The 12057-nt window shown below is 43.2% G+C and overlaps 1 protein-coding gene across 11 annotated transcripts in view, besides 2 other annotated features; it reads right to left on the bottom strand.

The window, feature by feature from the left end:
- Nucleotides 1–12057, bottom strand: part of PRKCA (protein kinase C alpha) — a 508131-nt gene that overhangs the window by 254320 nt on the left and 241754 nt on the right. The gene's annotated exons all lie outside the window — the stretch shown is intronic.
- Nucleotides 4553–5436: an enhancer, noted in NCBI's record as "H3K27ac hESC enhancer chr17:64547106-64547989 (GRCh37/hg19 assembly coordinates)". NCBI's record gives its function as "activates a minimal SCP1, AML or CMV promoter by ChIP-STARR-seq in primed H9 embryonic stem cells {active_cell/tissue: H9 hESC(primed)}" and the evidence as "EXISTENCE:reporter gene assay evidence [ECO:0000049][PMID:30033119]".
- Nucleotides 7405–7587: a silencer, noted in NCBI's record as "fragment chr17:64544955-64545137 (GRCh37/hg19 assembly coordinates)". NCBI's record gives its function as "represses an EF-1alpha promoter that drives an FKBP-Casp9 reporter gene in an ReSE screen in K562 erythroleukemia cells {active_cell/tissue: K562}" and the evidence as "EXISTENCE:reporter gene assay evidence [ECO:0000049][PMID:32094911]".

The raw sequence follows: 12057 nt of genomic DNA, 5'->3' as shown, positions 1-12057 counted from the left end.
CTCTTTAAATAATGTATTATGGACTAAAATGAAATTGCATAGCTGTTGTCACCTAATGCCCATGAAGACTATTGTCTTGACCAAAAAAAAAAAAAAAAAAGAAGAAGAAAGAAAAGATTATTCTCAGAGCACAGGAGGTTAACTCATTTGTTTTAAATGACTCCAGGTACAAATGCATATTTTAGTAGATGTTTTTGGTGATGATGCTAAAACCTTGAATTTTTAAAGTGCCTTTCAGTGAAAGGCCCAAATGTGTTCAAAATGGAAAGCATCCAGGTGGTAAACAGAAACTCGATGCTCAAAGGTGCAGCTCAGTCAAAAAGAGCTCCAGTCCCAGGGAGGAGTCCCCATGGCTGGCTCGCCCATCCAGAGCTCACCTGGATGGATGAATGGCTTCCTTTTCACAGAGCATCTTTCTTTAAAAAGAAAAAAAAAAGTAGTAGAGGAAAATGCATTTGACAAAATAAATGAGAAGGCTCTATATTTAACGACAGGAACAAAAAAATAATTAGTAGCACGCATTGCCAAGGTATGACACATGAAATACCTTTTGTGACTTCTTGGATTCCACACATCTTAAATAGCAACTGGAAGGGAAACCCTTCACCTAAGGACAGTCTAAAATTGCTATGGAAACTAACAGTTTGTCAACTGTGGTAGTTCATAATAGAAGTCTCAGCAATAAAAAAAAAATTTTTTTTTAAACCTGCAATCCAAAGGCTTCTTGTCCCTGTAACTCAAATAAGAACCTGGGTGGAGTTGTTTTCCAGTAGTGTAAGTGGCTCTTAAAGGATAATCTAGGCTACAAGTTGTCTAGAAATTTCTTGGATGAAGTTAGAAACTAGGATTTCTACAAGATATACTTCCAAGGAGGGACATTTGTAAAGAGCATTTATTACACTGGTGGGGAGGCAGCAATCCTGCTTCTCTGTTCAAAGGTGCCCAAGTGAAGTGGGGAAGCGTGTGGCACAAAGGAAGTTAAGGAAGAACGAGGATCCTCCACAAAGATTCTGCAATATGACAGAAAAGCATGTTCTTGGTGGTGAAGGATCTGCAGGTGGCAACTTCCATAAAAGAAGCCACATGTGTGTTGTAGCCAAGAAGTCTGGTTGCGTGGCACTCCATCTGCCACACGCAACAATCCAGAAAGAAAAACAGCCCTTCATAAGCAAGCATTGCATTTAAAATGCTGTGCTGACTGCACAGAAAGATACGATACCTGCCTTCAAAGAATTTACAATCTACTGGCTGGGCGTGGTGGCTCACGCCTGTAATCCCACCACTTTGGGAGGCCGAGGCAGGTGGATTGCCTGAGCTCAGGAGTTCGAGACGAGCCTGGGCAACAGGGTGAAACCCCATCTCTACTAAAATACAAAAACTTGGCCGGGCATGGCAGCGTGCGCCTGTAGTCTCAGCTACTCGGGAGGTTGAGGCAGGAGAATTGCCAGAACCTGAGGCAGAGGTTGCAGTGAGCTGAGATCGTGCCACTGCTCTCCAGCCTGGGCGACAGAGTGAGACCCTGTCTTTAAAAAAAAAAAAAAAAGAATTTACAATCTACTTAAGGTGACAACGTGGAATCACAAGTACAATGGGATGGCATCAACACAGTACTACAAGTGTTTAGAGGCAACAGATAATCCCAACTGGCTGATCCATTCCTGGGGCAAGGAGAGGCCTCCTCTTCAACAGAACACACAGCTTGGGAAGCCAAGAGGAAGGACAAGGCTGTTAATGGGGCAGTGGATGTCATAACCAAACTCCCTTCACATCCATAGATTTAATTTATTTGCTAGTGCCCCCCACCAAAAAAAAGTCCTTTAAAATTAACAGGTCACCCACCTTACCTTCGGAGAGTGAGTAGGATCTCAAAAGGTAGAGGCAGACTAGCAATACAGGGGAGAAGAGCTGTAGGTAATAGAAATGATGTGAGTAGTCACGGGAATGTTCTCTTCCAGCCCAAAGTTTGAAACACAGGCCCCAATGGGAACAAGAAACGTGTCATAGCGTGATTGGTAATGGAGGCTCTAAAAATCTTCTGGGTCAAGGAAGCCTATTGCAGGCTTTCTGACACACAGCCTGGGCTCCATGGCTCCACTGGGACAAGTTCACACCTGATCCAAATTTGAACAAGTCCAAGGCTATTTTTTGAGAAATAACTTTTTTTCTCTCGTTTTTTTTTTTTTTCATAGAGACGGGGTCACACGATGTTGCCCAAGCTGGTCTAGAGCAATTCTCCCACCTTGGCCTCCCAAAGTGTTGGGATGACAGGCGTGAGCCACCATACCTGGCCAGCAAAAAGTCTTAACTCTGCCCTGGCAGGCTCACTTCTGAACACAGGTGTCTTCTTTCTCTTCATGCCAATGTCTGGTGCCCAGTTCTTCACTTACAGGTCTTGTACTTCTCAGCCCCATCATTTTAATAACCTCATGCTGTACCCCAGCCTCTGAACCACTTTAGCTGTCCATCACCCTGTCTGAATTCTACCCCAAAGTCCAAGGTTCAACACTGTACTTTCAAGGAGACTCTCTGGATCACCCCGGCCACACACTTCATCTCCTGAACAATGAGATGGCACCAGCTTTCTCTACTGCTTAAACACTAATGAGAGGCCATGTCTTACACGTCTTGGTTCCCTCACAGGCCCTGGCACGGTACCTGAAAAATGAAAGGATCCACTTCCAAGATGCTTCGCTCATGTCAATGTCAGCAGGAAGACTCAGTTCCTCACCAGCAGCTCCTTCAAAGGCTGCTTGAGTGTCCTCACGGCATGGCTGCTGGGCTTCCCCAGAGCAAGTGATCCAAGAAAAACAGCAATGAGGAAGCTACGATGCCTTTTACAGCTATTCTCAGAAGTCACACACTGTCACTGCTACCATATTCTATCCATTAGAAGCAAGTCGCGAAATCTAGTCCACACTTAAGAGGATAAGAGTTAAGCTCTTTACCTCTGGCAGGGAGGAGTATTCAAGAATCTGTGAAAATATTCCAAAACGTCAGTAGGAGAGCTCAGGGAACACACAAGAGGAAGGAAACTACCTACCAAAGATCTTTCTAGCTATGGAATTATTTATTTGCTAGAGAAGACATTTGATCCAATCTCATTTGAGCATAGGGGAGTCACAATTTAAAAATCATTCATCAGGCCAGGTGCAGGGTGGCTCACGCTATAATCCCAGAACTTTGGGAGGCTGAGGCGGGTGGATCGCTTGAGCTCAGGAGTTTGAGACCAGCCTGGGCAACACGGCAAAACCCCACCTCTACTAAAAATGCAAAAATTAGCCAGGCATGCTGGTACAAGCCTGTAGTCCCAGCTACCTGGGAGGCTGAGGCAGAAGAATCGCTTGAACCCAGGGGGCAGAGGTTGCAGTGAGCCAAGATCACACCACTGCACTCTGGCACCAGCAACAGAGTGAGACTCTGTCTCAAAAAAAAAAAAGAAAATATTCAGATTTTTATAAAATGTAGTTCTTCTAGCTGTCTAGATTTAGATGTTCTACTAAAAAGACATACTTGGGTTCATAAAACTGGTAGGCTCTTAAAACAGTTGTGTCTATAGTGTATTTCATCATACATGGCGGGAGGCGGCATCTGACATGGCTCTCAGTGCGTCCCTGCCTCCTGGTGCTCATGCCCTTGTGTAGTCTCTCCTTGAGTGTGGGCTGGACCTAGTGGCTCACTTCAAATGAACAGACTATGGTGAAAATGTCAGGTTGTCACTTATGTGATTAGAGTATAAAAGACCATGACTGCGATCTTGCTGGTAGTTCTCTCCTGACAGTGCAATCTTGGCTTGGGTGCTTTTAGGAAGCAAGGAGCCCATGGGGCAAGGAACTGAGGGCAAAGTCCAGCCAACAGCCATAAGGAACTAAGGGTCCAGTCTAACGTCAACGAGGAACTGAATCCTGCCATCACATGAGCAGGCTTAGAAGCAGATCCTTCCCCAGTCGAGCCTCAGATGATTAGACTTCTGGGCTGCAGCCCGGGAGAAACCCTCAATCACAAGCACGCAGCTGAACTGTGACCCACAGAAACTGCGAGAAAATAAATGGTGTTGCTTTAAGCCACGACATTTTAGGGACATTTGTTATATGCAATACATAACAAATACATCTTTTTGTTTTGTTTTGGAGACAGGGTCTTAGCTATTACCCAGACTGGAGTGCAGTGGTGCAATCATGGCTCACTGCACCCTCTAACTCCCAGGCTCTGTTGATTCTCCTGCCTCAACCTCCCGACTCATTGGGAGTATAGGCATGTACCACCATGCCCAGCTAATTTTGTATTTTTTCCTAGAGATGGGATTTTGTCATGTTGCCCAGACTGGTCTCAAACTCCTGGGCTCAAGTGATCTGCCCACCTTGGCCTCCACAAGTGCTGGGATTACGGGCATGAGTCATTGTGCCTGGCCAAATACACCTATTGTTTACACTGTACATAAATATATACACTGTAAATAAATCTATAGTATTTGGCATTTAAAGAAACCTCATGGCCCAGGGTTTTATAAAATAACAAAATCCTACACATTTTTCAGAATTCATTAAACTATGCACTTCAGATCTATGCATTTTGTAATATGTGAATTATACTTCATTAAAGGAAAGAAGAGAAAGATAATTCCCCCCTCTCTCTCTCATATATATATATAAATTAGGATTCTCATAAATATGTTTGCTTCAAGTGAAACTTACTGTTCTGCTATGGTAGGCAGCCTCTGAGTTCCCCTCTAATTTGCCCCTGTCCCCTGTCCTGGTACTTAAGTGTTCAAACAATATCCCCCCCTTGAGTATGGGCTGGACCTAGTGACTCACTTCAAGTATATGGAATATAGCAAAAGTGATGGGGTGTCACTCCTGGATTAGGTTATAAGACTGATTTCGTCTGGCTCGCCCTCTCTTACTCACTCTGATGGAAGCCAGCTACCATGCTGCGAGCTGCCCTATGGCGAGAATCAAGGCAGGCTTCCGCCAACAGCTTGCAAGGAACTAAACCCTGCGAAAAGCAGGCTTGGGAATGGGTCCTCCCCTACTCAAGTCTTGAGATGGCCGCAGCCCCAGCCCATACCTTGATTGCAGCCTTATGTGAGTCCCTGAGGCAGACACCTTGCTCAGCTGGGTACCAATTTCTGACCCAAAGATGCTATGAAGCCAAGGCAACATGGCAAAACCCTGTCTCTACGGAAAAGTATAAAAAATTAGCCAGGTGTGGCAGTGCATGCCTGTGGTCCCAGCTACTCACAGGGCTAAGGTGGGAGGATCACTTGAGGCCAGGAGATCAAGGCTACAGTGAGTCATGACTGTGCCACTGCACTCCAGCCTGGGTGACAGAGTGAGACCTTGTCTCAAAAAACAACAATTAAAAAAGATGCTGTGAAATAATAAACATCAATTGTTTTAAGCCACTGTGTTTTGGGGTAATTTACTATATACCAACACAAAATTGATGTAAACGCCCATGTAACTCATGTTATATAGGCTTTAAAAGAAAAGAAGCCGTTTAATAAGAGCTATGCTTGGTAACAAAAGACATTTTCATAAAACACACACAGCTCCCCACTCTTACATGCTCAACAGAATACAGCATTGCAAGCTCTTTGCAAGAAAGACGAATGTGTCGCTTCCTTTCCACCCGCATCGCACCATGGAGGAGGCAGTGAATGAACGGACATTTAATGCTGGCAGGAAGCTTTAATCAGGACTGTGCTTTCCTTTGCCCGCACTGGAGAATCTTTCCCATTTCTATTCCCAGAGCCTTATTGATTGATTGATTGATTTTGAGACAGAGTCTCACTCTGTCACCCAGGCTGGAGTGCAGTGGCACGATCTCGGTTCACTGCTACCTCTGCCTCCCGGGTTCAAGCCATTCTCCTGCCTCAGCCTCCCGAGTAGCTGAGACTACAGATGTCCGCCACCACACCCAGCTAATTTTTGTATTTTTAGTAGACATGGTTTCACTATGTTGGCCAGGCTGGTCTTGAGCTCCTGAACTCAGGTGATCTACCTGCCTCGGCCTCCCAAAGTGTTGGGATTACAGACATGGACCACTGCACCCGGACCCAGAGCCTTCTTTAACCTGCCGTGGAACTTTCAATTGTCAAGAGACAAGGGACAGTCTGTGCAGAAACTTGGCACGTTTTCCCCAAGGACCTACACCCAGGAAGACCTCAAAGGGAAGCCTTTGTGAGAGAATGCTGGCTTAGAAGCAGATGAACATCATCTAACTGGTTTTAGTCTTGGGATCTCATTTTCCATCATGGTTACGTCTCTTCACCCGAGAAAAAAGAGTAAAACTCTGCACGTGTCAGAAAAGCAAGTCTGCGTGTGTGTGAGACACTGGGAAGTATATGAAATACAACAGGCCAGGGATTCTCTCAAGTTGTTCTAAATGGAGATGCAAGTACCCAGGGGTCTTAAGAGTCTAAAGAGAAACATGCAGGGAATTTCAGAGGAATTCCTTGACTGGGGGAGGAGGTAGTGGTGTGTGACGAGAGGTGACTCACATTTCCATAAACTTCATTCCTTTTAGATTTCTTAACCCCCTTCACTTCTTGTTTGGGACCAAGGTGAATTCTGTGCCATCACAATTAAGAAACACACCCCACTGACCACTAAAAAGGGGCAAATAAGAACAGCAACATAGGAGGCAATTAAGGATTTCTTGCTTTAAGAAATAAAATTTCTAGAATGGAAAAATCAGTGTCTTTTTTTACTCCTCTCTCTCATCAGCAAGTGGCTTGTGTTCCTACCAAATACTTTAAATAATTTGGGTTAGAACCACCACCAGAGGAGGTCCAAATGGAATTCACACAACTGCTCAATATCAATTTATGTGAAATCTGTGGTTTCTGCCCCCTTTAAAGTGCTGATTAAAAGCAGGTGGCTACGACACAGGCAAATGCACTGTCATTCCCGTCCCGTGGCCTGGAGAGGTACCAACCTCCTCTAAGACTTCAATCTCTTTAGAGAGGCCTGGGCCACAGGTGATTCTTATTATTGCATGGCAGAAGGGAGCAACCTGCTGAGCTACACCAGACCCTGGCTGGTATCCACCCACCCTGTTATCAGTCACAGAAGCAAATTTGCATTTCCTCACTGGAAAGAAGTTGAGAGCCCAGGCTCTGGACGAAGGACTGAGCATGCATCCGAGCTCCACCCACACCCAATTTACAAACTTGAGCACCTTAATCCATCTCTCTAAGCCTCAGTTTCCCCCTCTGTAAAATGAGGCAATAATGGCACCTGCATGGACTTCCTGTGGTTATTGTAAAAAAAAAAAAAAAAAACTGCCATAAACTTGGTAGCTTAAAATTACAGAAAGTGGCCCGGCACGGTGGCTCATGCCTGTAATCCCAGCACTCTGGGAGGTCAAGACAGGCGGGTCACTTGAGCCCAGGAGTTTGAAACCAGCCTGTCAACATGGCAAAACCCCATCTCTACCAAAAAATACAAAAATTAGCTGGGTGTGGTAGTGCACTTGTGGTCCCAGCTACTCAGGAGGCTGAGGCAGGAAGATTGCTTGAGCCCGGGAGGCGGAGGCTGCAGTGACTGAGCTGTGATTGCGCCACTACACTCCAGCCTGGGCAACAGAGAGAGAGCCTGCTTCAAAAAAAAAAAAACTTGCCGAAACGTATTCGGTAGGCGCTAGGAGGGAATCCAGCTCCCACCTCCTCCAGCCGCCCTGCCTTGTCAGCATCACTCCCATCTCAACCTCACCTTTTCGAAAGTCCATGAGATGGCATTTAGGGCCCATGCAGATAGTCCAGGATAGGGTCACCTCAAGACCCTTTTTTTCCAAATAAGGCAATATTTACAGGTTCCAGGGATTGGGATACAGATATGCATGAGAGAGGGCCACCACTCAGGACACCAGATCACCTATCTTAATGGGTTGTTGTAAAGATTAAGTGAGAAATACCTGTGTGGTACACACAGCTTGGTGCCTGGTAGGCAGCTTGCTAAGTCCTCATTTGTTAGAGGACGTGTCCTTTAGGCATGTGTGTTGAACTTTGCTCACAGTAGATCTCTCAAACATTATAAATCATTTTCTGAGGGGAGGGAGGCGGCAGGAGATGACTTTCTGCCCCTCTCCTTCCTGCCAAAAGGAAGGAAGTGTCAAGGAGGGGCGCCCTCATAGGCACCAGCTGACTCAGCCCTGTGAGGTTTGGTGGCCTTCACCATCATCTCAGTAAATTTTTTGGTCTTTATTTTCACAGCTAAGGAGAAGTGTAAGGAGCTGTAGTTTTTGCTTTATAATGTTCTTCCACTGTCGACTTCAAGGAAATCCCCCCGAACAAGAATCAGCGAAAAGCTCCCTCAGGCTCTAGCCCCACAATTACAGCTACAATTCGTATGGTTTCTGTAATCAGAAAACACTACAACCCTTTAAACATTTCCACATTTAAAAAATGACTTGGGATCTGTGTACAGGCCTAAGAAAAAAAGAGTGGAGCAGCATGTTTTGCAAACCTCTAAGCAGCCAGGATATGTCATGAATGTCCTTCCAATGTTTCTGGTCAAAATTATCTAAAAGATGTTTGTATGGTTTTCTCATGGTAAGTGCTTTAATGTGTCAGAATAAAAAGCCGTAAGATGGTTTCTTTGCTTGCAAATAATTATTTGCCCAAGTAAATATTTGAGTTGAACTGGTGGTATCAAGGGTTATTTTCTACTTCAATGAGGAAATCATCCTATTTTTTTAAGGCATCTGGAAAATATGTCCACAGCCTTCTGTCAATATTTGAAGCTGTCAAAATGACTCTTGATTCTCAAGTAACTTTCGATGAAGTTAACAATGAATAGTCAAGGAACTTACCCAGGGTAGGTAGGATTCATCACAACACCTACCAAGGGAACATTTAGTCATTTATAAACAACTCTCAGTAAACAGTAAGGACTAGTGAAACCAGCACTCAACTTACTGATTCATTGATAACTTCATTTAGTGTACATTCATGGAACAGTGATTATCAGTCTGGTGACATCCTAGATGCTAGGAGATGACTCTCACAAGGTTCCTATCCCCTTGGGAGGAAGAGGATAGACAAATTATCCAGTAAAACGTAACAGGACCTGGGATTGGGACTGAGATTGTGTGTCATCCATAGCAGGGCACAGAGGGAGACCACAGCTGACTGCATTGAGTGATTCAAAGAAGGCAAGACTTGTCTTGGTTTTGAAAGGGAAATAACTGTTTGAAAGATAAGTGGAGGGGAGGGTGTTCAAGTTCAGTGTGAGCAAAGTACAGAGATGTAACATACACAGGCATATCTGGAGACATAAACACGATACCTAAGTGAGAAAGGAAGGTAGATAGGTAAGGGCAAGATCGCTAAGGTAAACTGGTGAAACTCCAGACTACTCAAGACAAAAGGCAAGAAATAACAAGGAGCTCACCTTAGTCAGTAGTAGTAGGAATACAGAGGAGGGGACAGATATGGGAGATGCTACAGTAGCTTAAAGCAATAGTATTTTATGCTTGGCAAAATGAGGGGAAATACAAGTAAACTGTTGTAAGGTTCTTACACCATATGTGATGTGGTATAATATTGTTGGAAAGTAGACTGATTGATTAAAGATTTACATTACAAGCCCTAGATCAACCACAAACAAAACAAAACAAAACACGAAGAGGTAAAACTAATGCTGCGGGTCGTATTGTGTTCCCCAAAACAATATCTCGAAGCCTTTACTCCAGGTCTACGTGAATGTGACGTTATTTGGAAATAAGGTCTTTGCAAATGTAATGAAGTAACATGAGGCCAATATTGGATTAGGGTAGCCCCTAAATCCAATGATTGCTATTTTTATAAGGAAAGAAAGATTTGGAAATGGCAGGCACACACAGAGGGAAGATGGCCATGTGAACACAGAGGCGGAAACTGGAGAGATGCAGCCACAAGCCAATGAACATAGAGGATTAGCGGCAACTAACACAACGTAGGAAAATGCAAGGAAAGATTCTTGCCAAGAGCCTTCAAAGGAAGCATGACCCTGCCAAGGCCTTAATTGTGGACTTCTAGCTTTCAGAACTGTGTATGAATACATTTCTGTTGTTTTGAGACACTCTATGTTAATCTGTTATGGCAGCCTTAGAAACTAATACAGCTAATCATATTAGAAACTAATACAACCAAACATAATAAAATGAAGTAATTAAAAATACTCATCCCAACAGAAGGAAAAAGGGAACAAGAGGATGAACTGAATGCAAATAAAAGGATAGTGGTCATTAAATGTAAATTATAATCCCATGTAAATTAATGATAATTCCATTACATATAAATGGTGTAAAGACTGCAATTAAATGGCAAAGATTGTCACAGCAGATAAAAAAGGACCAGACTACATACTGATACTGTCTATATGAAACTCGTTTTAGACTTAAAGACACAGATATATGAAAAGTAAAAGGATAAAAAACGAAGTATCATGGTAACATTAATCTAAAAGAAAGCTAGACTGGCCAGATTAATATCAAACAGTAAATTTCAGAGCAAAATTAACAAGTCTCAGTAAGGTTTATTCTCATACAAAATCTAATTTACTTTTTTTCCTAAAAGAAAAATGAATATGGTAAATGACTTTCCAATCACATGACACACTTCATATTTTCCACCAACATTCACTAAACACTTGGATTCTGCAGGAAACATTCTGCACTGACTATGATTTCTATAATGATCAGATTTTTTTAATGTTCTTCTCTTTTGTATTTGTAGTGATAAAATTTTGCCTGACATTTTTCCTTGAAGAAAGTAAACATAGCCTGCCACAAAAACTGATATTGACAGAGCCTCAGTGGTTAAGCCTTTTTTTCTCATTAATTCTCCCGATATTTTAGCTCTAGTAATCTAGCCCTAGACAAAAACACTGGTAGCTCACACTCAGGAATGCATGATGTGATGTAGGATTAAAAAAAATAACAGTCTTACTACAAGGATACAAACATTTTTTAAAGTAAAGTCATACAGTATGTAGATAAATTATCTGTTTTTTTGAGACAGAGTCTCGCTCTGTCGCCCAGGCTGGAGTGCAGTGGCACAATCTTGGCTCACTGCAAGCTCCGCCTTTTGGGTTCACGCCATTCTCCTACCTCAGCCTCCTGAGTAGCTGGGACTACAGGCACCCGCCACCACGCCTGGCTAATTTTTTGTATTTTTTAGTAGAGGCGGGGTTTCACCGTGTTAGCCAGGATGGTCTCGATCTCCTGACCTCGTGATCTGCCCGCCTTGGCCTCCCAAAGTGCTGGGATTACAGGCGTGATTCACTGCGCCCAGCCTAAATTATCTGTATTAAACTCCTGCAGCACTGACAAGTAGAAATAACATTTTTGAAAGCTCAGAGAAGTATTTTCCAACATTTGCTTAAGCCTAGAAAAAAGTCTGGCAATCAATAAACATTTGATTAACTTAAATAATGTAACTTTCGGTAAGTTACTTATCATTTCGTGATCTGTAAAATAGAGAAAATAATGGTAATTTATTAACCACCTAAGGAAATCGTAATAATTTACTTTTAAAAAATGATATTGGTGGTCGGACATGGTGGCTCATGCCTGTAATCCCAGCACTTTGGGAGGCCGAGGCGGGTGGATCACCTGAGGTCAAGAGTTTGAAACCTGCCTGACCAACATGGTGAAATCCCATCTCTACTAAAAATACAAAAATTAGCTGGGCATGGTGGCGCATGCCTGTAATCCCAGCTACTTGGGAGGGTGAGACAGTAGAATGGCTTGAACCTGGGAGGTGGAGGTTGCAGTGAGCTGAGATCATGCCACAGTACTCCAGCCTGGGTGACAAAGCAAGACTCACTCCATCTTAAAAAAAAAATGATATTGGTAATTCTTTCTTTGAATAAAGAAGACTAAAAGTACTGTAACAAGGCTTCATGTAACTCTCAATGTAAGGGAGTAACCTCATTTTCTGGAAAACTGAATATTTTCTTTTTATGTACTAAGGCTTGTTTTTAGTCTTTTCTTTTTTAAACCAGCATGTATACAAATATTTCTAAAACGCACTTTAAGTCCCTTGTTTTGTTAAACAAAATATGTCAATATACT

The sequence above is a fragment of the Homo sapiens genome, chromosome 17 (assembly GCF_000001405.40).
Source record: "Homo sapiens chromosome 17, GRCh38.p14 Primary Assembly".
NCBI classification, from domain to species: domain Eukaryota; kingdom Metazoa; phylum Chordata; class Mammalia; order Primates; family Hominidae; genus Homo; species Homo sapiens.
Note: the sequence above shows the minus strand (reverse complement) of the source record. Positions and strands in the feature narration are given on the sequence as shown.